This window comes from Homo sapiens, chromosome 7 (genome assembly GCF_000001405.40).
Source record: "Homo sapiens chromosome 7, GRCh38.p14 Primary Assembly".
NCBI classification, from domain to species: domain Eukaryota; kingdom Metazoa; phylum Chordata; class Mammalia; order Primates; family Hominidae; genus Homo; species Homo sapiens.
Window position 1 is genome coordinate 424,164 of NC_000007.14, and position 23,547 is coordinate 447,710.

The following is a 23,547-nucleotide window of genomic DNA, read 5'->3' on the forward strand; positions in this document are numbered from 1 at the left end:
CCTGCAGGATGCCCCTCAACCTCCTCCTGGCATGCACGGTGGCCAGTGACGCCATGCCCACACTCCACCCCCCAGAGAACACACTTCCTTTCTCGCTGTCTACACCGCCCTTAGGATCAGGCATGTGGAGGGCCCTGGGGAAGGAGCCCAAGAATGTGCTCTGCCCTACCCGGACCCATGGGACTCAGGCTGAACTCTCTCCAGCACAGCTGCAAGACCCTGAGTTCTAGGAGAAGCAGCCCAGACCTGCAGCCCCATGGGCAGCCGGCACTGGACATCCTACCCCAGGGGCCTCAGAAGGAGGGAGCTGGGCTGGGGTGGGCACATGGGCTGGAGACACCAAGGCCTCTGCCCCACTGAGGCTCTGCTCCAGCCAGGAGTCACCCCAGGAAGTGGAGGTCAGCCTTCTCCCTCCTACCTCCTTCCTGGTGGGCTCATGGGCTCGGGGCTGGGAGGGGAGAAGGGGGGCCTGGGAGGAGGCAAGGTGTCTGTGCCAGAGACTGGTCTTTGCACCGAGGCTGCTGACAGGTGGTGTCAGGGAACCTGGGTGCACGTCAGCACCTGCTGTCAGCAGAAGGCAATCCTGCTGAGGGCGTTCAGCTGCCAGGTGGGCAGGGCCCATCTGTCTCTGCGTGGACCCCGTGTATCTGGATGCTGCTCCTTGACTTTGAGGGAGGGGGTCAGGGATGGGGAACACCCTTGGGGCTTGGAAGCAGCCCCCCCCACACACATCAGGCCTCCCGCCTGGTGGAAAATATCCCCACAGTGGGTGCATCCGGTTGGCGGGGAGTTTGGCAGGGCAGGCCCCAGGGGACGTCCCTCAGGGCACGTGAGCCAGCCTGACCCCAGGGCAATGGACGGGAACCTGCCCACTGGGAAACTGAGGCCCTGCAAGGATAGGCACCCTGGCCAGCGAGGCCGTCCATGGGATGGGAGCGGCCCCTTGGAGCTTCCCCTGCCCCGTGACTCAGCGTGCCCTGGCACAGAGCCCCCGGCCCGGTCCCCGCTCCCCAGGGGCGGCCGCTGCTTTCTTCTCGGCCCTGGCTCGGTTCACAAACCCCTTTCACTGTGTGCCCAGCCCTGGCCAACAAGGGCTTATTCAGCACCGGCCTGTGTCCCGTTGCTGGGGAGGGCAGGGCCGGAGCGGGAAGAACATTTGTGTAACGTGGAAGGCATGCTTCTCTCAAAGGGTGGGAGCAGGCGATTCCCAGAGAAGGACACGCAGGGAGGCCGTCCGTCGGTGACCAGACGCCTGACCTCATACACCGGCAATGATGCACATGTCAGACCCAGCTTGTAGCCGCTCAGCCCACCCGACAGACAGCACCAGTGCCCAGTGGCAGCCAGCCCCATGCAGATGAAAGAAAAAGGCACAGCCCAGGGCGGATGCTTCTGAGGTGCAGGTGCCTGTCTGTCATCGGGCAGGAGCCCGCAGGTGGACAGCATGGGGCCCGCACACCTGGGGACCGGGCGAGGGGTGTGGAGCGCCGTGGGGCACCCTGCAGCATCGGGTACATCTGCGTGTGGACAGCAGGACATCAAGAGTCGAAAAGGTGCGATTAACAAGTTGCAGAACAGAACGGCCGTGAACCCATTTTATCTAAACGTGGTGTGTGCGTGTGTGTGTTCGAGGGTGTGCGTGTGTGTGCCTGTGTGTGTGTGTGCGTGTGCGATAGTGTGAACTGAAAAGCCACTGGGCCTCTGGTCAAGGCAGACGGGGCCACTCCCCCCCCAAGCCTGCTCGGGAACTAAGCCCAGGGATGCATTCCCACGCCCAGGGCTTGTTCTAAATGCTCCGCGGGAGGGAGGTCGGTCCCTGGAGGCAGAGATTGTCCTGCTGCTGCTCATGTGAGGACACGGGGAGGGGCTGGGCCCCCAGACCAGGTGGGGAGGGCCCCTCACGGGGCCGGAGTTTGGCCACCTGCCTCTGTACCTGTGTAGCCGAGGAAGGCCCTTGCTGGGCCCGCTGAGGAGGAGACAAACTCTAGAGGGTGGCGACCCGATTTGCAAATGGCCCTGAGCCATCTGATGAATGACTGGCCCTTCGTGGGCCGTCCAGCCGATGGGTTTGGGGCTCAGAAGCCACACTGAGCTGCCCCAGGAACAAGCACGGCTCCTGTAGGGGTGGAGAAGGCAGAAGGAGGGGCACCTCAGTTCCAGGCTTGGAAATATAAGAGGTGTCTGGACCCACCCTCTCCTCCCCTCCCCTCCCTTCCCCTCCCCTCCACCCTCCCCTCCCCTCCACCCTCCCCTCCCCTCCACCCTCCCCTCCCCTCCAACCTCCCCTCCCCTCCAACCTCCCCTCCCCTCCACCCTCCACCAACACTCGCTGTCCTGCACCCGTCCTGTTTCCACAGCAAGTCCACACACGAAGGCCGGGCACTCACTCTGGGCCAGGACTTGTGCTGGGTGCAGGAGGCACAGCAGAGTTGATGCTGCCCTGGCCTCAGAGACTCTCCCTGAGTGCAGGCGGCACAACCCAGTCGAGGCTGCCCTGTCCTCAGAGACTCCCCTGGGTGCAGGTGGCATAGCTGAGTCGATGCCGCCCTGTCCTCAGGGACTCTCCCTGGGGGATAAGGCAGTGCCTCCCTGCCACTCCCCGTGCTGTGCTGGCAAACGTCTAACAATCAGCAACCCAGGAAGACCCTGACTCGCAGCGACTGCCAATTTCCGTGGTGTAAACGCTGCTGCCACAGCCATATTCATGCAGCCCCTGTGATGTCACTGAACATGGCACTGGCAGAAGAGAGCATGGTGGCTCCCAGGAGCTGGCGAGAGGCAGTTCCACTCCCCACCACCCACTCCCATTGCTTTCTGATTCTCCTAATGGGGGAAACTTACACCATGACCCGCCCAGAGTAATAAGAGAACACTCCATCCCTGACTGTATTTGGAGCTTCTTCAGCACTTTATTGTGAAGCCCGGCACCTCTGCCTGGATTCTACGATCAACACTGGCTCATTTCTTCACCATAGACCCAGTCACCTCTCCGTCCCCCCACCCCTCCGTCAACCCATCTTATTTTATTGGATGCATTTCACAGGAAGTTGTAGACAACAGTATATTTCAATACAAATATTTCAGAAGTATTAACTAGAATCCAATATCTGTCAACAGTTCTCTTGTTTTAGGTAAAATTTACAGTGGAATTCACAGATCTTAACAGTTCCGTGAGATGAGTTCTGAGACGTGCACACACCTGCGTCTCCCAAACCCTCACCGGGAATATTGTCAGCCCCTGTGGAGCACAGTAAAGAGATTTATCAAAGAACTGAAAACAGAACTCATCCAGCAATCCCACTGCCCCAGTAAAGAGATTTATCAAAGAACTGAAAACAGAACTCATCCAGCAATCCCACTGCCGGGCAGCTACTCGAAGGAAATGATTACATCAAAAAGACACCTGCACGTGCACGTCCATCACAGCACCATTCACAACAGCAAAGACACGGAATCAGCCTAGGGCTCCACCAACAGACGGCTGGAGAAAGAGAATGTGGTGCATATACACGATGGAGTACTATTCAGCCATGAAAAAGTGTAAAATTGTGCCCTTTGCAGGAACGTGGATGGAACGGGAGAACATAGTGCTGAGTCAAACAGTTCAGAAACAGAAGGACAAAGAGCACGTGTCCTCACTTACAGGTGGGAGCTAAATGATGTGTGCACGTGGACACAGAGTGGGGAACACTCACCCGTGGATGCTCAGGAGGGTGGGGCGAGGGATGAGAAAGTTCCCGGTGCGTTTGATGTACGCTCTCTGGTGATGGCTACACTGACAGCCCCGACTTCACCACTACACAGTGTTTCCATGTAACTGCACTTGTACCCCTTATATTTACAAATAAAAAATAGGCCAGGCACAGGTGGCTCACGCCTGTAATCCCAACACTTCAAGAAGCCAAGACAGGAAGATGAGTTGAGCCTAGGAGTTCAAGACCGGCCTGGGCAACATAGCGAGACCTCATGTCTACAAAAAGTACAAGATTAGCCATGCGTGGTGGCACGTGCCTGTAGTCCCAGGTACTCGGGAGGCTAAGGTGGGAGGACGGCTTGAGCATGGGAAGTTGAGGCTGCAGTGAGCTGTGATCACCCCCCTGCACTGCAGCCTGGGCGACACAGCAAGGCCCTGTCTCAAAAATTAATTGATTTAATTAAATAATAATAACGATACAACCACTTTAAAAAGCCAAAAAAAAAAGACAATATGTCATCAACCTAGACATGGTCCGATATGGTAGCTATTTATGTTTACACTTAAATTCATTAAAATTAAATAAAATTTAAAAGCCGGCTCCTCAACTGCACAGGCCACACTTCCTCAACTGTACGAGCCACATTTCAAGGGCTCAGCAGCCACACGTGACCAGTGACCACCACGTGGCTCACACAGACACGGGCATTCCCGCCACGTGTGACCAGTGACCACCGCGTGGCTCACACAGACACAAGGATTCCCGTCTCCACATGTGACCAGTGACCCACCGCGTGGCTCACACAGACACGGGCATTCCCGTCTCCACATGTGACCAGTGACCACCACGTGGCTCACACAGACACGGGCATTCCCATCACCACAGACACTCCCACTGGACAGGCTGCCCTAGGAAGTTCCCGCAGACCACACTTGGTGTTTAAAACTGGGCTTTCTTCCTCCCTGTTACCCAAAGCCTTTTTAAAAGGCTCTTGGTGGTGTGCTGAGCCCCCTGCACCGGGCGGTTTCCCCGTGGCCTGTGGGTGAAGGTGGAGCTGAGGATGAACTCGTGGGTCCCAGGGGAAGACCATTCCCTTACTCCCTGGTGAGAGGCGCGGTGTCTGCAGGATCTACAAGGCCCCTCGCACGAGGGACATTTGGCTCATCCATTGGCAACATGGGCGGCAGGACCGGGGCGCTGACAGCCAGTCGGCCGTGCGAGGACCCCTGCACGGGCGTCGCGAAACTTCCCAGCGGCTTCCCGACGCCATCATGCATTTTTCATGCAAGGCAAATGGTCTGCGCGCTACGTGGGCCCAATCCTGACACAGCAGCACGGGACCCCTGCAGTACTTCAACCCCATATAAATAAATCACAGGGTGCAGATTGCAAGCCGTCGGTTATGCGTTCCAGGCAGCCCTGGAGAGCCGCCTTCTCGCAGGGAGGCTGCTGCCCCAGGAAGGAAGCACCTTCTATCCTCAGGCACGACGGGGCCCTGCTCTGCACTCCCTCCTGCACGTCTGTGTGGCCTCAGCCATGCTGCCTGGCTCCTCTGAGCACCTGGATCACGGAGAGGAGGCAGGAGGTAGCCGCTGCCTGTTGGCTCCCGTCACCCCTGGGGCAGAGTCCAAATTCCTCAATGAAACCCACTGAACCCTGCACAACCTGGGATCCGCTGAGCCCTGGGGCCTCCCCTCCTGCACCCCCAACCCTCAGTCTGGACCCCTCGGAGACTCTCAGGCAGGGAGAGCTCACTCTTCCCTCCTCCCGCCTTCACCGGCTGTGTTTCCACCGAGAACACGCCTGCACCGTCATGGACGGGGCCTAGAGCTCTGTGGAGGCCCAGGCACTACATGGGCATTTAAATACAGCCGACCCGGCCGATGCCCTAACGCAGGCAGGGCCCAGAGACCAAGAGAGGCCCATACACTGCACGTCCTGGCGTTAAATAACACCGCCCCGGCTGATGCCCCGTGGAACTCGCAGAGTAGCCTCCGTGCTCCCGCCGTGACAGACTTCACACCAGCCTGGACGTTCAGACTCAAGGTTAGAAATCTCAGCTTCCCGAGGACACACAGCCATGCCTCCTGCCTCCCTCCATCGCCTCCGGCTTCACTCTCACGGGAAGGGGGCTTCGGGATGCCGGGCCCGCACTCCGAGTGGCCATGCTGGGTCCGGGTCCTGCACAGAGCGCCCTTGGCTGCCCCCACACCAGGCCCAGCACCGCAGGCAGAGGACTTGGAAGAGGAAGACACGTGGTGCTCGTGGGACCTTTGGGGCAGGAGCCTCGGGAACCCCAGGGCCTTGAGGTACTCAGGATGGGATTGCGAAGGCAGCTCAGGCCTCAGCGGGGCTGGAGGGGAACTACAGGTCCCCTCTTGCCTGGGGCTGAGGGTGATGCTGTCCTCGCCGGGGCCTTCACGGTCAGACCAAAGCCTCGGTCTTGTTGGGGTCTGGTGTGAATTGCAGCCGTCACACAGGTGGTGTGCAGAGCCAGCTCCTAAGAGCTGAGCCTTCATGTCCTGGAATCGGGTGAGCTGGCCGTCATACACAGAACTATTAAAATTAAATCAGCCTGGCGTGGGGGCTCATGCTGTAACCCCAGCACGCCAGGAGTCCGAGGAGGGAGGATGGCTTGAGGACAGGAGTGAGAGACCAGCCTGGGCAACACAGCAAGATCTCATCTCTGCAGATAAAAAAATAAATAGGCCAGGCGCGGTGGCTCACACCTGTAATCCCAGCACTTTGGGAGGCTGAGGCAGGCGGATCACGAGGTCAGGAGACAGACAATCCTGGCTAACACGGTGAAAACCCGTCTCAACTAAAAATACAAAAAAGTTAGCCAAATGTGGTGGCAGGCGCCCGTAGTCCCAGCTACTTGGGAGGCTGAGGCAGGAGAATGGCGTGAGCCCGGGAGGCGGAGCTTTCAGTGAGCCGAGATCGCGCGGCTGCACTCCAGCCTGGGTGACAGAGCGAGACTCTGTCTCAGAAATAAATAAATAAATAAATAAATAAATAAATAAATAAGCTGGATGTGGTGGCGTGTACCTGCGGTCCCAGCTCCTCGGGAGGCTGAGACAGGAGGATCACTTGAGCCCAGGAGGTTGAGGCTGCAGTGAGCTGTGGTTGCGCCACTGCCCTCCAGCCTGAGTGATGGAGCAAAACCATATCTCAAAAACAAATTAAATCATAAGAACTTACAAATAAAGAAGTCACTAAAAACAGAAGCGCTGAACACAGCACGCGCCACTGCCTCTCACGCTGCGGCCCTGTGCGCTCCTCCAGGATCCAGAGGTTGGTCGTGGGTCGTGTCTGTCTGAGGTCGGGTCACGTGGGTGTCACCGCAGGGTGCCCGCCCCTGCCTGCAGCATGTCCCCTTGGCAGCTCGAAGCCAGCCCCGGTGGGAGCATTTGCACCACAGGTATTGGCAGACACTCCCCATCTGGGCTCTTTCTTCCTCGGAGCCGGTGGTCACGGTCAGCAGCCCACCCCGAGCCGCGGAGGTCACAGCAATGTCAGCCTGACTGCGTTCCCCCATTCCAGGCTGCCCTCCGTGGAGACGGAGATGCTCCTCGCTGAAAAGCGCTGCTGGGGTGGAGGAAATACCCGCTCTTAGGAAACCCACTCAGCCAGCAGCGGGGAAAAGCTGAGCTTCTTTTCTGTAGGATGTTTTCTTTTTAAAGTTCTTATCTGAAAGCAAAGAAGAGGCTGGATATGGGCTGTCCGAGGGCTTCAGCTTGCCTGGGTCCTGGGGGCCTCTGGGCTCTGTACCTCCGACCCTCTGCTCCCTGTGGCCTCCCACCTTGGACCGAAAAGGCCACGGTCAGCAAATGCCCCAACCAAGGGAAGAGGAGGTGGGGCCGGGCAGCTGCTGTGAGGTTGGGCGAGGCCTTGTGGCCACAATGGATGTTCCCCTCCAGCCTAGAGCTGGCCGCAGAGTGCTGCCGAGAAGGCCGGCCCCATGGCTGGGGCTGTGGGGGGCAGGGGCTGGAACAAAGGAGCAGCTGGGCTGGACAGCCTTGGCCCTGTCCCCAGAGGCTTCCAGACACATCTCTGGCCCTGAGCTCGAGTGCCTTGTGGCCTTCCAGGGAGGCCGGCACCCGCTTCCCCAGACTGGGCAGCCTCGCCTGGTCCCGTGGTCCTGGGGAAAGACAAGCCTGGGCCGGGGACAGGGAGAGAGCTGCGGAGTTGAAAAGGGATGCAGGCCCCTGGGAGCAGCTGTGGGGCGGAGGCGGGGGGTGGGGGCCATGGCCAGCACTCGGTGGGCTGGGAGAAGTTTCAGGGCTCTGGGTTCTGGGTTCAGGGCTGGAAGATGGATGGAGGGACCAGCATTGGCTTGAGAGCAAGGCTCCGCCGTCCTGGGGCTGGGCTGCTGTGAGCCCTCAGGCCATGCGTCTGGGAAGCTGGAGGTGGGGGTGTCCGAGGGACAGGGGACAGTGGACTGGGCCTGCACCAGGAGACTGGCCGGGGCAGCCATCATAGGCAGGTGTGTGTGGGTGGCGGTGAGGCTCAGCCTCGGGACACAGGAGGCCACACATGAGCTGTGACCTGCACTGGCACCCAGACCAAGCTGCCCTGGAGCTGTGGGTCCTCCCAGACAGGCACGAAGGCCCAAGACCATCTTCCTCCTGCGTTTCCCAGAGCTCCTCCCACCCAGGGCCCGGGGAGTTCTTGGGGCTGGGAAGCATCATCCGTTCTGCAGGGCAGGGGCTGAGCACAGACTGCTGGGCTTGCAAAGGGAGTGAGCGCCAGCTGCCCCTACAGGCCACGGGGTGGCCGTTGCCCTTCAGGGGCTCCATGAACAAGTTTCCTCAGACGTGATGAGCTCCCTGTCACGGGAGGTAAGCAAGAGGGGTCCTCGGACGTGATGAGCTCCCTGTCACGGGAGGTAAGCAAGAGGGGGGGTACTCAGCCCTCTGTGGTGTTTGCTGGCCAATCTTCAATTTTCCCTTCCAGCTAAGACTCTGATTTTCCTTTGGGAAAGTGCTCCATCTCAGTCAGTGTGGCTGGGGGCTCCCCCACCCTAGGCCCCCAGTGGGCCCTCCACCCAGGGCTGGCCCAGACCCCGGTGATTGTCCCAGAGGTGAGCAGGGACCCAGGCCGAGTCACTCAGACTCTGGGACTGGGACACTCAGAGGCCCCTCCCTGCAGGGCCACCAGAGTGTGGGGAACCTGCCTGGGAATGCAGCCCAGGTGGAGAAAAGCAGAGCCAGAAGTGGGAGAGTCCACGCCCTGATCGTGCTGTTGGAGCACCTGAATCCAGCCGTGCCTGAAGCCCACCACCCCGCACTTTCTGGTAGGAGCCAGAAATATCCACCTTGTAAATACCCACCTTGACCTCAATCAGTCTGAGCAGGTTTCTGTCACTCGGACCTGAAGAGTCCTTGCTAACGCCCTCTGCTAGGATGCAGCCCGCCCGGTCTGTCTGTGGCTCTGCCAGCTTCCCGAGCGCCTCTGCAGCTGTGCCTGATGACAGCCTCCTGGGGTTGCCATCTCTCCCTGCCCCTTTGCCCCCCTTATCTTGCATCTTGGGGCGAAGCCTCCTCCCTTCCCTCCCAGAGTCTTCAGGCCCTCCGGAGCCCCACCCAAGGCTGCAGTGCCCCCACCCTCGTTCCAAAGACACAAACTGAAGCAGCCACACGGGGAACCCAGAAGAAGGTCTCTGAGGCACAGCCTGTCGCCCCATAGAAGCCGACTCTTCCTCAGCCTGCCTTGCCAGCACAGGGCGAGGTGGGACATGGGGAGAGGACCCCACACAGACCCCATGTCAGATCCCCATTCCCCGCCCCCTGTCATTTCCAGCTGTGTGACCCCAGGCAAGCCACGTCACCACTCCAAGCCTCTCAGGTTAAAGATGGGGCCAGTAACTCCAGCCGCCTCCTCCTGGAAGTGTGGAGAACACGCCCGCCCAGGCTGCCCGGCCACGGCTGCCCTGCTCCCAGGCAGCGGCACAGGGCTGGATCCCAGGGGTTCCTTGGGCCAGGGGTGGGGCTCAGCTGGATCCTGCAGTGCTGGGGCATCCACCTGACAACCGCTATCCTTCTCACCGACTCCATAAAACCCACCAAGAAAAGCCGTGCAGGACATCCCGGCACACAGCAGTTCACAGTTACTCAGATGCTGCTGCGTCCAGCTCAAGGAGTGAAGGAGGGGAAAGGAAAAAGGAAGGAAGGGGGTGCGTGCAGTGGCTCACACCTGCGAGGTCAGCACTTTGGGAGGCTGAGGCAGGAGGATCGCTTGAGCCCAGAAGTTCAAGACCAGCATGGACAACTTAGGGAAACCCTTCTCTACAAAAAATAAAAGAATTAGCCGGGTGTAGCCGCAGGCCCTGTAGTCCCAGCTACTCGGGAGGCCGGGGCAGGAGGATCCCTTGAGCCAGGGAGGTCGAGGCTGTAGTGAGCTGAGATCGCACCACTGCACTCCAGCCTGAGTGACAGAGCAAGACCCTGTCTCAAAAAACATTTTTTTATTTTAATTTTTTTTTTTTTTTGAGACAGAGTCTCGCTGTCGTCCAGGCTGGAGTGCGGTGGTGCGATCTCGGCTCACTGCAAGTTCCGCCTTCCGGGTTCACGCCATTCTCCTGCCTCAGCCTCCCGAGTAGCTGGGACTACAGGCGCCCGCCACCACGGCCGGCTAATTTTTTGTATTTTTAGTAGAGATGGCGTTTCACCGTGTTAGCCAGGATGGTCTCAATCTCCTGACCTCGTGATTCACCCGCCTCGGCCTCCCAAAGCGCTGGGATTACAGGCGTGAGCCACCGCGCCCGGCTGATTTTGTTTTTTGTATTTTTAGTAGAGACGGGGTTTCGCCGTGTTAGCCAGGATGGTCTCGATCTCCTGACCTCGTGATCCGCCCGCCTCGGCCTCCCAAAGCGCTGGGATTACAGGCGTGAGCCACCGTGCCCGACCCCTGTTATGCCCCTTACGATTATTATTGTATCTTTATGAGCTCAAGCTGCTGTCCCCTCCGAGTCTGGCACATGCTGGCTGGAGACCGGCAGCACCCGGATGGGGAAGAGCAGCCGTTTGGAGTCAGCATTGACAGAAAATCGAACACTGCTGCTCGAGGATTCAGAAGCGGCCCTTCTGAGCTCTGCTGTGCACGCCGCGGGCTCTGGAGAGATTGGCTGGGTCGTCCCCCACCTTCCTGGGGCAAGGGACCTGCCGAAGAGAGCCGGGGAAGAATGTCAACATTGTTAGGAAAACAAGCTTCAGACAGAAGCTCTGCATAGCGGCCACCCGGAGGGAGGTGGAATTTTGCAATGCGCCCCTCCCCGTGCAGGGCGAGTGGCCCCAGGGCACACGAAGGCCCTGGCTGCCGTGAGTTGATTTAAAGCTCGGCTGCCTATCTCTGGTGACAGGTTATTTGTGTAACCTACAGTTTTCTATGCACGTAGTAATTTCCACCTCCCTCCATGTCACACAGAAGACACGTTTTTACCCTGAGTCGGAGCAGGAGAAGTGTCTAAACGAAAGTGACTTCACAAAGGGCTTGACTGACAGGCGGGCGCGGGGAGAGCCGGGATAATGTCCGGGTTATCAAAGCAGACGCAGGTGGGCAGGTGAGAACGGGCATGCTCCCCAGCTCAGAAAGGCCCGTTCGGCTCGCAGGAGGTCCCAAAGCAGGAACTAACAGGCACAGGGATCGCTGGCCCCGTGCGTTTCCCTTTAAACACTGTCTAAGCTGTAACGAAGTCTGATTACAGTTTAGCTGAGATGGAAACTGAGAGGAAGGAACTATAATATTCAGCAATTACAATCACCTTCCTCTTTGGACAATCCCATTTCACTCCTCGGCTTATGCCTGTTCCCCGTGGATCCTGACTACACACCCTAACCTCATGCTTGGCAGTTCGTAAACAAGATGCCGCTCTGTGGTGACGGCGTACGCGAAATGAGAAGCACGACTCTGGGGGCCAGAGAGGCCTGATCTCGGTAGCTCCCAGGCTTAGTCTCTGCGCTACCTGGGCCGAAAGAGCTGAATTCTGCGAAGCTCTGTGTCCTTGCCTGTAGAAGGGGGAAGAACGGAACTTACTTGGAAGACTTGTGTGACTCGGGTGAGGATTCAGCTGTGCACACACAAAGGGACATGAGTGAGCAAGCGTCTGGCACGGACACAGCCGGGTGTGGAACAGCAGCCCCGCCCCGTTGGCTCAGAGGCAGCCGCACGCACAGAGGAGCTGTCTCAGCTCAGAGCCTGGCCTGGCCCGTCCACCTGGCCCTCTGGGAGGGCCGCCCCCCTTGCTTCTCTGGCCAAATTCCTACATCTGGGGTCTCGAGGGGAAGAGGCCGGGATGAGTTGCTGGGTGGCCCAGCAATAAATCTTGAACAATGAGGTGGCTCAGTCTCCCTCCTACCAAATGGACCAAGTTACCTCTGAGGCCGTGGGAGGTGAATGAGTCAGTGTTTGTGAAACACTCTGTGGATCAGATGAAAGGGCTCCAGGAGGGGCTGCCCATTAGAGGTGATCACAGGGAGCTTGGCCCACGCCCCCCAGAATGAGGGCCAAGGGGCGGGGGCGGCAGGAGGCCTGGACGCAGAGGAGGCCACAGCCAGGCCCCACTAAGCCACCTGTTCCCGGCACAGGCATCCGAGGGCCAAGGCTGCAGGAACCGTCTCTGCTGGTCACGTCTGGAGTGTGAGGCCCTGGAGGCCCCCGTGCACGTCCGTGCGATGATGCCGCCCACAACCACCGAGATCGGCCGGAGGGAAATAAGGCCGGAGGCAGCAGCACCCGGGGTGGGGCCTGGCGTGGCCCGGACCACGTAACCTCCTGCGCTTGGACAGCTTCTCCCACCTACCCGGGTCTCAGCACCCTCAGTGGTCTGCGGGGAGCCTGCTGCCATGCAAGTCCCTATAATCTGAGGGTGTGGACGCCCTTTTCTGCCACCATGGCCTGCTCCAGTCGGGGGCCGTGCCTGAGAGTGGGTGAGGGGGACCTCCCCAGCCCCTGGAGACCCTGGCTTGCCCAGGCCATGTGGCCCAGTGGACACAACAGAACCAGAGGCCAGATCCACCCCGGTGCCCACCTCCAGGCCTCAGGCAGCCCAGGGTGCACCGACCGAGGGCCCCACACTGTGCACCACGGCGACCCCTCCCCAAGGCCCCACCCTGCCCCATCCAGGCCCTCCCATCTCTATCTCCAGCCTGGGGGTCTCTGCCTCTCTCTGACCTGGGGCCTCCACTGCACCCACTCAGAGCCTGAGCCAGGCCCATTAAAGGTGCAAGGATTATCACGGAAGGTGGAGAGCTGTGCCAGCCACAGCGGCCCCCAGCCCCTTGCATCCACGGAGCACCTGGGGCACGTCCTGGTGAGACCAGCCACAGGTGGGAGGGAGTCAGCGCCGACTCATGACCGAGCTCTCACCAGCAATTTCTACATTGACTGCACATTGCAATGACAATGTTTGGGTGATGGAGTTAAAATATAGGCTCAAACTAAATATTACCTTTTTTTACATGTTTTCAGGCAGCACAAACAGATTTAAAACCAGGCATGAGGCTGCCGGGCAGCTCTGACCTAGAACAGCCACCTTGTTTTACGGCTGAGGACAGGAGGGCTGAGAAGGAAAGCCCTGTCCCTGCAGGGGCTAATGAATGAGAGGAGGGAGAATGAGCTACCCCCGGGAAGAATCAAATTCCGGAGGCAGGTGACCTCTGGGGCAGGCTGCAAGGACGCGGGCCTAGGGAATGGCTGCCTTCTTCTCTGGGTTTTTCTTTAAACCGCACTGCTCAGCCCAGCCATTTCCAGGAGGCCTCGCCATGGGCACACGCTGAGGCAGGTGGCGGCGCCCGCCTGGCCATTGGCAGACGTGGCTGTGCTAGGCGCCTTTTCTTTCTCAGCAGGACCCGGGGTGAGGAAAGAGACATGCCGGTCACTCAATGAAATAACCATGGAAACGCTGGATTCAGCGGAGGCGTCCACCTGCCCAGCCGCTCCCCCCGGAACTTCCTCCTTCAGTCCGGGGACCGCATCCAGCTTCTCCGGGGCCCGCGTGAAACAGGCTCGCCCCTCACCCGGCAGCCACCCAGAGTCCCGGCTTATCCATCACTGTCAGGCTCCGAGAGCAGCTCTGTTCTGAATGCCCGGCCGCTTCTGCAACACACAGGAGGGAACAGGGGTCCACGTGAGACCGGCCACTGGCAGAGGCCTGGGTCAGGCTGAAAGGTGCCTTGCGAGATGGGCACTCGCCAGCCTGCTCCAGCCAGAGCCCAGTTCCTTCTGAGAATCACACGGCCAGACAGAGGCTTGCTGAGAAGTGGGTGTCCTCCTCTCTGTCCAGCCCCAGCTGCACGGAAGCGAAGCCGGCCCCAGCGTGACTGAGTCCAGAGCCCAGCCCTGAGCACTCACCAAGGGCCAGGACGAGTCAGTGTGTGGGGCAGGTGCCGCCCCCACGACCTCATTCCCAAGCTCCCTCTGTGTCCCCGCAGCCCGTGCTGGCCAGGGAGGCAGGAGGGCATGGCAGGTGCTCCCAGAGCTCGCTTCTCTGCGCGTTCCCGCCGCCCTCCCTCCCTGGTCCTGCGGGCTGCCGGCCTCAGGATCCAGGTCACCTTAGGTGGCAAAGTTGGAGCCGTGCCCCACCTGCCTTCACTGGCTCATGTTGACTCCTTCATCTACGAGACAGTCTGAGCTTGAGGCTTGGAAACTCTCCTCTGCCGGACCTAGCTCTGGGCCATGGATGCACAGAGCCCTGAGCTCAGAGACCAGGAGAGGCTGGCACCATGCTCCACCCAGCAGGTGGCTCCAGGTCATCTGGAGTGTCCCAAAGCTGCAAGGCTGAGGGAGGCTCCCCCTTCCTGGAGGGGCCCAGGCAGCCCTTGGGATGGAGCCAGGGACGGTCCCTGACCCCAGGAGCTCCCTCTCCTCCCACGCCTTCCACAGACCCATCTCCCTCAGGACTGCCTTAACTTGGGGTCACCTAGAAATAGGTTTATGGGGAGGCCATCCCAGGGAACTTTCGCAGGAATGAGGGCTGAGATGGGGAAGGGCTGTTGTCACCACCATGGGGGATTGCTCCAGTGAGAGGGCCAGCACGGGACCCTCAGAGTCTTCCCACCCAAGGGTCATGAGATCCGGGTCAGAGGTCACAGGCTGCTCCTAGGGCCTCTAGATCTCTGGAGAGCCCTTGGCTGCAGTTTGCCGATGCCAATGGCTGGAGGTCAGCTGGCACTCCCACCACGATGGCCAGCGGACAACAACAGTGTGGGCACAGTGATGGGCACCCCCCCGTGTCCACTCGGCCGGGCTGCAGTGCCCAGCGGCACGGTCAAGCCCCATCCAGATGCCACTGTGGCTGTGCTGCAGGTGTGATGGACACGCACAATTGGCTAATTGCAAGTGCTGCAGATCACGAGATGTGGCTGGGCCTCAGCTGCAGCTGAAGATGAACGCCGAGGCTTCCTGGAGAAGGATTTCTGCCCCAAGACTGCAACATAAAATCCTGCCCGGGCTCCCAGCCTGCTCCCCTGCGGGTCTGCCCTGCAGATTTCAGATTCATCAGCCTGGACCATCACATGGGCCAGCGCATTAAATCAATCTCCCTGTGTCTGTGTCTCTGTCTCTCTCCCTCCAAAGGGCGCTGACTGATACGGGACCCTCTGTGTCTCTGCCTCAGGGCCAGGCTCCAGCCCCCGAGAGCCCCTGGTGGCTCAGCCTCTTCCCCACAGCCCTGCCCTCCACGAGGACGCTTTCGGCCCTTGGTGCTCTCTGTGTTACGGATTTATAGGGCTGTGCCCTGGGCCTGGACCTAAGGGGGTCGGGAGCAATGTCTGGACTTCCTGCCACCCTCAAGGTACGCAGGTATGTGTGTGCTCAGGATGATTTATGTAGAGGAAACTGGGGGGAAACTCCTTGCAAATAAACCTCTGAGATCCTACAGACCTCAGGGGGATGGCAGCAATGGTCGGAGCCCACTGCTCAGTCTGCAGATGGAGAAACTGAGGCCCAAAGAAGGCTTTGGCCTCTAGGTATGCCCTTGATTTCTGACCCTTAAGAGAAGCTGAGGAGTATGAGCATTTACTGTGCACTGTGTGGGCTGGTTCCACCTCCCTGAGATGTGGAGGACAGAGGCCCCTGTAACCAAGGCGAGAGTGACGGTCCTGGGGACTCCCGCCAGGCAGGCTGGAATCTGGTGGTACTGAGAGTGTCCTCTGCACACTCCAGGGGCAGCCATCTCAAGGACAGTGGCCATGCAGGGATAACCCTCATTCGAGCCAACTGGGCATTCTCTATGGGTCCCTGTGCCCCCAAGCCCCAGGAATGGACTGGAGCCCTGGGTGTTGGCCACGATCACTGCAGAAGGGAAGGTGAAGAGGAGGCAGAGGTCAATGTTCCTTCTTCCGGGTCCAGGGCCCAGCTCACACACCAGGCCTTGTTCTGGGCCCTGAGAGTATACTGCTGCCCTTACCAAGACCAAGCCCTCCCTGCACTGAGCAGTGGCCCCAGACCCAAGATGCCAGAGAGCTTCTGGTGTGGAGAATCGTGTAGAGACCACTGGGCCCAAGGTCTCCTTTTTACAGTGGGGAGACAAAAGAGACTTGTCCAAAGTCAGCTAGGGCCCCAGTATCCCAGAACGCCCATCCCCAGCCCCTGCCAGCCCTCTTTTTCATTCTCCTACTCCTGAGCAGTAACGGGAGATGGGGCCCACATTGTGATGGAGTTTGGAAAGTATTTTAGGGTACTGCAGCTGTCATCACAAAAACCACAAGCGGAGGGTCTTAAACAACACGGATTTATTTCTCACAACTCTGAAGGCTGGACGTCTAACATTAAGGAACCAGCACAGCTGGTTTCTCCACAGGCCTCTCTCCTCAACTTCTAGATGGCAGCCTTCCCCCAGATCCTCACACGGCCTCTCCTCTGTGCACAGATAGTGGGGATCCCTGGTGTCTCTTCCTCCTCCCATAAGAACACTGGTCCTACAGGATTAGGATTAGGGCCCCAACCTTATGGGATCATTCAATCTTGTTACCTCCTTAAACGCCTTGTCTCCAAATATAGTCACATGGGGGATACAGCTTCCACCTATAAGTTTGGAGGATGCCATTCCATTCGTAACAGAATCAAATGCTAGAGTGGAACTACTCTATTTAAAAGCTCCAGTGTATCCAGGCCGCAGCACATAACGAGGTAGGAAGAGCCGGAGAAGGCCTGGCTGGCCCTGGGAGACACGTCCATCTCACTGCTGGTTCATAAGCATGTGGGCACCCGGGAAGCTGGAGCGTGGCCTGTGTGACGTGGGCGCCCACCACCACGATGAGGCCGGTTCATAAACATGTGGGCACCCGGGAAGCTGGAGCGTGGCCTGTGTGACGTGGGTGCCCACCACCATGATGGGGCCGGTTCATAAACACGTGGGCACCCGGGAAGCTGGAGCGTGGCCTGTGTGACGTGGGCGCCCACCACCAGGATGAGGCTGGTTCATAAACAGGTGGGCACCCGGGAAGCTGGAGCGTGGCCTGTGTGGCATGGGCGCCCACCACCACGATGGGGCTGGTTCATAAAAACACGTGGGCACCCGGGAAGCTGGAGCGTGGCCTGTGTGACGTGGGCGCCCACCACCAGCATGAGGCTGGTTCATAAACATGTGGGCACCCGGGAAGCTGGAGCGTGGCTTGTGTGACGTGGGTGCCCACCACCAGGATGGGGCTGGTTGTGTCACCATCAGGCGAGGAAGCCATCACACACTGCACTGCCGAGGGGGAAGGAAGGAGGAAGAAGACGAGAAAACGACAGTGACGCCACTGCTCCCGCCCGAGTCACCTCATTGGACCCTCACGGTGATCCATGCTGAGCCCGCATTGGCCAATTTTTAAAGAAAGGGTCATTGGTTTGCCTCAAGTCATGCTGACTTCCTTGGGGTGAAGTCGATTTGCACCCAGGGCCCTCAGACTCCAGGTCCAGTGCTCCTTCCACCCCTCCACGCTCGCCACACCCACACACAACCAGCTGTGCAGAGGAGGGGCAGGCTCTTTCCGGAGCTGGCCGGGCAGCGAGAGGTCCCTGGCTGCCAATGCTGGCTGTTCCCGCAGCTGATACTTGAGCCCTGGACATGGTTATTTTTTATCCATTAAGTAATTCCGGTGGAGGCCAGAAAGAAATTGAGACCCACCTTGGCCAGGGCCAGCAAGGCTGCCGAGATAAAAGGTCACACTGAGGGTGGCTGTCCAGCCTCCTCTTGTTCCAACCCAGCTTCCGAATGAAAGCAGGACTCCAGGAAACTCACAGGTGTCCACCCACAGCACCCAGCCACCACCCAGCCCTTGGGGCAGCTCCCTGCTGAGAAACGGCAGCAGGGAGACTGACCGCCTGGGTTCAGACCCCAGCTGGCTTCTCCCCAGCATGTGGGCTCCTCCCCCAGCTCTTCTCCTGTCTGCAAATTGGAATCTCCCCTACAGGAGTTCAGGTGAGCTCATTGCTGTGTGAGGAGCCCAAAGTGTGCTCGGCGCACAGCAGGTGCTCAGTAAATGTGGCTCCCAGCCTGTTGCCTGCCACAGGCTCAAGGGCTCTGTGGAACAATGCCTGGCACTCAGAAATGCCCCCACAGGGCCCCCAGCCCTGAGGGCAAAAGACATCGTGAATCCCTTTGGTTTCTGTGCTTTATTTCCCCCATGCCTTAAAGCACTGGAGTATCAGCCTCATAGGGTGGGGCTGTGTCTTGTCACTGCATCCCCTCACCTAGAGCCACATCTGACTCAGAGGAGGTAACAATGGCTAATGGATGGATGGATGGCAGATAAAGGATGGATGGAGGATGGATGGATGGCTGGACGGATGGGTGGATGAATGGATGGATGGATGGAGGGATGGATGGACGGATGGACGGACGGACGGACGGATAGATGGATGGATGGATGGATGGTAGATGGAGGATGAAGGATAGATGGTGGAAGGACGGATGGTGGATGGTGGATGAATGGATGGTGGATGAATGGATGGTGCATGAAGGATGAATGGTGGATGGATGGTGAATGGTGGATGGATGGATGGATTGTGGATGGTGGATGGATGAGAATGGAGGATGAATGGTGGATGGATGGATGGATGAATAGATGGATGGATGGTGGATGGATGGTGGATGAACGGAGGATGAATGGTGGATGGATGGATGGATGAATAGATGGATGGATGGTGGATGAATGGAGGATGAATGGTGGATGGATGAATGGATGGAGGATGAATGGTGGATGGATGGATGGATGGATGGATGAATAGATGGATGGATGGTGGATGGTGGATGGATGAGAATGGAGGATGAATGGTGGATGGATGGTGGATGGTGGATGGAAGAGAATGGAGGATGACTGGTGGATGGATGGTGGATGGTGGGTGGATGGATGGATGGAGGATGAATGGTGGATGGATGGATGGACAGATGGATGAGAATGGAGGATGGATGGTGGATGGATGGATGAGAATGGAGGATGGATGGTGGATGGATAGATGGATGGATGGTGGATGGATGGATGCATGAATGGATAGATGGATTGATGGAGGATGAATGGTGGATGGAGATGGATGGAGGATGGATGGTGGATGGATGGATGAGAATAGAGGATGGATAGTGGATGGATGGATGCATGGATGGATGGATGGTGAATGGTGGAGGGATCGTGGATGGTGGATGGATGGGTGGATGGATGAATGGTGGATGGATGGGTGGATGGATGGATGGATGGTGGATGGAGGATGGATGGATGGATGGATGGATGCATGAATGGATGGATGAATGGTGGATGGATGGTGTATGGAGGGATGGAGAATGGAGGATGAATGGTGGATGGATGGATGGTGGATGGAGGATGAGTGATGGATGAATGGATGGATGGATGGATGGATGGATGGATGGATGGAGGATAAAGGATAGATGGTGAATAGATGGATGGTGGATGGAGGATGGTAGATGGGTGAATGGATGAGTATGTGGATGGGTAGATGGATGGGTGGGTGAATAGATGAATGGAGGGATGGATGGATGGATGGATGGATGGATGGATGGATGGGAAGGTGGGCGGGTGAATGGATGAGTGGGTGGGTGGGTGGGTGGATGGATGGATGGGTGGGTGGATGAATGTGGACAGACTGGCATAGCCCACATGGGTTCTAGCCCTTCAGCTGGGCAGTTGGAGGAGGTTTCTCAGCCTGGGGCTCTTAGCCTCTGTTTCTCTGAGGAGTCCCAGGCCCTTCTTTGCAGCTAGGAAAGTCAATTCCCCAAACCCCTCCCCTTTCAGTATCTAAATTGAGCAGATTCTACTTGAGGGAAAAGAGCCCCAGGTGAGCTGGACATCTCCCATCCCTCCACACTCTCCCAGTGGCTCCAGGGACAGGTGAGAACTCCCTGCTGCTCCCTAGGCACCCACTGGGTGCTCCCTGTGCCACAGGAGTTGACGCACAGCACCCTGCAGGGGCTCTGCTGGGGAATCTCATCCTGTTTACACGGCAGAGCCTGTGGTCTATCCCATAGCCACTGCCTACCTTGTCCATCCTGCAGCCACCACCTACCTTCTTGGCCACTGAGTTAGGATCTGGGGTAACCCCGAGGCAGCCCTTACCCTCCCTTGACCTTTGAAACAGGGTCTTTGACCCCACTGGTGGGCTCTGAGAAATATTTCCCCTTTCCTTCCACCCACTTCCCCACCAGGAGGCTGCACCTGCCAAAGCCCTGTGACGTTCTAGGGACATTCACTACCCTTTGCATGAGACGGAGGCACACGCAGAGACCCAGAACCTGGGCCGTCAGCTAAGGGTCAGCTCAAAGCTTCCCAGGTCCCAGATACCAAAGGGTCCTGGGGCCTCCACTCTGACACAGGAGCTGGAGCCCTGCCCCAAGCTTGCCCACACTCACAGAGCCAGAGCCAGAACCATCCATCCTGACCCAGGAGGGCCTCCCCGGCCTCACAGCCTCCGAGCCCAGCTCTGCAGAGGTGGCGCGCCCAGCGGGAGCTGTAAACGGGATGTGTCTTTAGCCTTGCTGCCAACTCTTGAGAAGCACGCCCCAGAGGCACAGGCCCTTCCAAGTTTCTCCCTTTTCTTTCTTCAAAATGCAGTCATTGGCTCCCCATCAAGAGGCCTCCTCTGAGTTGTGAGTGTTTCTCCCTCTGCGAGCTCAGCCTTGTGTCTTGACCCCCAGAAATGGTCTCAGTGCTTCTTCCTGAGACCCCCGGAATCCAAGGGGCATGGCCCCCAGCCAGGGTCCCCGGGGTCCTGACTCCACCCAACCACACACAGACTCCACTTCCAGCAGTGAGTGAGGCCCCTTGCCTCCGGGGCAGCAGCCACTTGTGTGGGGAGAGGTTGGGGTCAGCTGATGTGGGCTGGGGGCACCCCAATCTCCAGCTGGCCTAGAGTCTCCGAGAGCAAAGCAAGTCGGAACCGGAGCCGTGTGAAAGTCCGGCAGTGGCGGTGGTTCTCCTGCTGCCCTGCACATGCCATGGTCAGAGTGGCCACAGTGCCCCCATGATGTGCTGCAGGGGCGAGGCGGGGCGAGGCAGGCCTGCGCCAGGGAGAGATGGCCTGGCCCCACCAGCCAGCGCCCCGTCACCAGCACCCCATCACCCTGCATGCCCTCACCCTGTCTCCTTGGGTCCCTCTCCCTACTCAGCACACACGGTGACCTTTCAGGTTCTCCAGTGGGTCCTTTTGGACTCAGAGTAAGACCCTCACCCCTCCCTGGCCTGCCAGACGCTCTAACATCTGGTCCCCATTCCCCCAAGCCCTGCCTGGCATGCTGTCCTGGTCACCCCCCTAGACCCCGTCCTCGTCCTCCAGCTCTTGGCTCAGGTGTCCCCTCAAGAGGCCCCTGAGGCCCCACCCCACTCTCTGCAGCCCCTGGCCTGCCCCTTCCCCACTGCGGGCTTGGGCCCAGGTCCGGACTTGTTGAGGCCTCACCTCCTCCACGGCCACAGCGGCAGCCCAGGGCCTGACAGAGCACTGCAGTCTAACAGGCGCCTGCAATCTGCCCGGAGACGAACTGCCCTGAGCATTTGCTGCAATCTGCCCATGGATGCAGGAATGAGTGCCTTGAGCATTTGGGAAGGAAGAGAAAGGGAGGGAGGGGGAGGGGGAAGCAGTGGGGAGGGAGAGGGAAGAGGAAAAGATGGAGGTGGGGAGAAGGGAGAGAGGAGGGAGGATGGAGAGATGGAGAAAAGAAGGAGGAGGGAGAGAGGGAGGAGGGAGAAAAGAGGGAGGAGAGAGAGAGGGAGGAGAAGGAAAGGAAGAAGGAGGGAGGAGGGAGTGGGGAGGGAGAGGAATGAGGGACAATGGAGAGGGAGGAAGAAGAGGGAGGGGGAAGAGGGAGAGATGGAGGGAGGGAGGACTACTCCAATAGAGGGGGCGCCTCTTGTCCGAGGGGAGCGAAGGGACACCCTGGTCAGGGGAACCGGAAGTGGTTGGATTCCACGGGCAGAGGGGGAGGCCCCAGGATGACAGGAATGGCCCCGGCACAGGAGCAGAGCAGCGACCCTGCAGGACATGTTCAGGGCGCCCGGCCTCCCATCTCCCTGCCTCGTGGGCCTGGATGTGCAGGAAGGTAAGTCAGAGCCTGGCTCAGCCCAGGCTGCCGAAGCTTTGTAAGAAAAATAAACCCCACGTTCCAGGGTTTCCCTGGCCTCCCGGTCAATGGTGCCCTCCGACGTGAGCCCTGACGGGGGCTCAGGATCAGCCTCCACCTGCCTCTCCCCCTCCCAGGACCCTGCATGGCTCCCCGTGGCCCATGGTGAGGCAGGGAGGGCTCCACGTGCAGCCCCAAGCCATGCCAACTCTCTTGTTCTCTGCCCCTGGTGCCCTAGGCTCGAACCCCCCCTGTCTGCAGCACCCAGTCCGATTGTTCCGTTGGGGAGTTTCAGGTGGATCACGCCTTCCTCAAGACCCTCCCAATCCTGCCTGCCCCACCCTGCACCAGCCGAGGACCCAGACTCTCCCCTGGCCCAGCAGTGACAAGTGCCTTGCCCGGCGCCAACAGTGTGTGTGCTCGCGAAGCCGGTGTGGTTCCCTGGACATCAGTGAGGGCCCCACATCACCCGGCGCGGGGCTGGGTGCTGAGGAGCTGCCTCCCGAGGACTGGGTGCTGCCGCTGCGGAGCCCAGGTCCAGGTTCCTTCCCCCACCCTGCTGCCCCAGCTCATGTGGCCTGCTGGGCTTGTTTATGTTGCTATTGTTTTTGTTGCTGTTTTGGGGGGTTTTTTTGAGACAGGGCCTCGCTCAGTCACCCAGGCTGAAATGCAGTGGCAAGATCATGGCTCACTGCAGCCTCGACCTCCTGGGCCCCAGGGATCCTCCCACCTCAGCCTCCCGAGTAGCTAAGATGACAGGTGCACGTCACCACACCCAGCTGATTTTTTAATTTATTTTTATTTTTTGTAGAGATGGAGTCTTGCTATATTGGTGGTCTCAAACTCCTGGCCCTAAGCGATCCTCTTGCCTCAACCTCCCAAAGCGCCGGGATGACAGGCGTGAGCCAGTGCACCTGGCCTGACCTTGATTTCAGTGGTGGTTTCACAACATCCACTTACGTCAAAACATATTGGATTATATTCTTTAAGTATGGGCAGCTTGTTGTTGACAATTTCAACTCAATAAAGCTGTTTTACAAAAATATATATATATATATTAAAAAGACAGAAATGTGATATTGAAATGAGACGGTAGTCATAGGAAAAAAGGTTAATGTGGATTACTTTCTTACACTTTACACCAGAAATATATGTGAATTATCAGAGATCTAATGTGAATGGATCAGAGATAGAATCATAAAATGACATAAAACCACAACGAGGGGTCGTCTGTGCTGGAGGACAGCTCCGTGTCTGGATTCCGTGGTGAAAAAGGGCGCAGAACTGCGCAGTCATCCCCGTGAC

The 23,547-nt window shown here is 58.6% G+C and overlaps 3 long non-coding RNA genes across 5 annotated transcripts, besides 7 other annotated features; 2 read left to right on the top strand and 1 right to left on the bottom strand.

The window, feature by feature from the left end:
• On the top strand, positions 1,299–15,226 carry LOC116435278 (uncharacterized). 3 transcript variants are annotated; one of them, NR_165239.1, is made up of 2 exons: positions 1,299–1,553; positions 13,541–15,226. It is a non-coding gene; the product is annotated as an uncharacterized LOC116435278 (long non-coding RNA). The 3 variants fall into 3 exon arrangements; NR_165237.1 differs by lacking the exon at positions 13,541–15,226 and adding an exon at positions 3,118–6,671; NR_165238.1 differs by lacking the exon at positions 13,541–15,226 and adding an exon at positions 3,132–4,178.
• Positions 1,380–2,297: an enhancer, noted in NCBI's record as "H3K27ac-H3K4me1 hESC enhancer chr7:465509-466426 (GRCh37/hg19 assembly coordinates)". NCBI's record gives its function as "activates a minimal SCP1, AML or CMV promoter by ChIP-STARR-seq in primed H9 embryonic stem cells {active_cell/tissue: H9 hESC(primed)}" and the evidence as "EXISTENCE:reporter gene assay evidence [ECO:0000049][PMID:30033119]".
• LOC112267991 (uncharacterized) lies at positions 2,886–7,638 on the bottom strand. The gene has a single exon (NR_165236.1). It is a non-coding gene; the product is annotated as an uncharacterized LOC112267991 (long non-coding RNA).
• Positions 8,876–9,712: an enhancer, noted in NCBI's record as "H3K4me1 hESC enhancer chr7:473022-473858 (GRCh37/hg19 assembly coordinates)". NCBI's record gives its function as "activates a minimal SCP1, AML or CMV promoter by ChIP-STARR-seq in primed H9 embryonic stem cells {active_cell/tissue: H9 hESC(primed)}" and the evidence as "EXISTENCE:reporter gene assay evidence [ECO:0000049][PMID:30033119]".
• Positions 9,713–10,548: an enhancer, noted in NCBI's record as "H3K4me1 hESC enhancer chr7:473859-474694 (GRCh37/hg19 assembly coordinates)". NCBI's record gives its function as "activates a minimal SCP1, AML or CMV promoter by ChIP-STARR-seq in primed H9 embryonic stem cells {active_cell/tissue: H9 hESC(primed)}" and the evidence as "EXISTENCE:reporter gene assay evidence [ECO:0000049][PMID:30033119]".
• Positions 11,295–12,494: an enhancer, noted in NCBI's record as "MED14-independent group 3 enhancer chr7:475441-476640 (GRCh37/hg19 assembly coordinates)". NCBI's record gives its function as "activates an origin of replication core promoter dependent on BRD2, BRD4, P300/CBP and CDK7 cofactors, and independent of MED14, by STARR-seq in HCT116 cells {active_cell/tissue: HCT116}" and the evidence as "EXISTENCE:reporter gene assay evidence [ECO:0000049][PMID:35650434]".
• Positions 11,295–13,056: a biological region, named in NCBI's record as "MED14-independent group 3 enhancer GRCh37_chr7:475441-476640".
• Positions 12,221–13,056: an enhancer, noted in NCBI's record as "H3K27ac-H3K4me1 hESC enhancer chr7:476367-477202 (GRCh37/hg19 assembly coordinates)". NCBI's record gives its function as "activates a minimal SCP1, AML or CMV promoter by ChIP-STARR-seq in naive and primed H9 embryonic stem cells {active_cell/tissue: H9 hESC(naive and primed)}" and the evidence as "EXISTENCE:reporter gene assay evidence [ECO:0000049][PMID:30033119]".
• Positions 21,262–21,922: an enhancer, noted in NCBI's record as "H3K27ac-H3K4me1 hESC enhancer chr7:485302-485962 (GRCh37/hg19 assembly coordinates)". NCBI's record gives its function as "activates a minimal SCP1, AML or CMV promoter by ChIP-STARR-seq in naive H9 embryonic stem cells {active_cell/tissue: H9 hESC(naive)}" and the evidence as "EXISTENCE:reporter gene assay evidence [ECO:0000049][PMID:30033119]".
• Positions 22,065–23,285, top strand: LOC124901566 (uncharacterized). Its single transcript, XR_007060174.1, has 2 exons — positions 22,065–22,221; positions 22,481–23,285. It is a non-coding gene; the product is annotated as an uncharacterized LOC124901566 (long non-coding RNA).
• Positions 23,286–23,547: the final 262 nt, after the last annotated feature.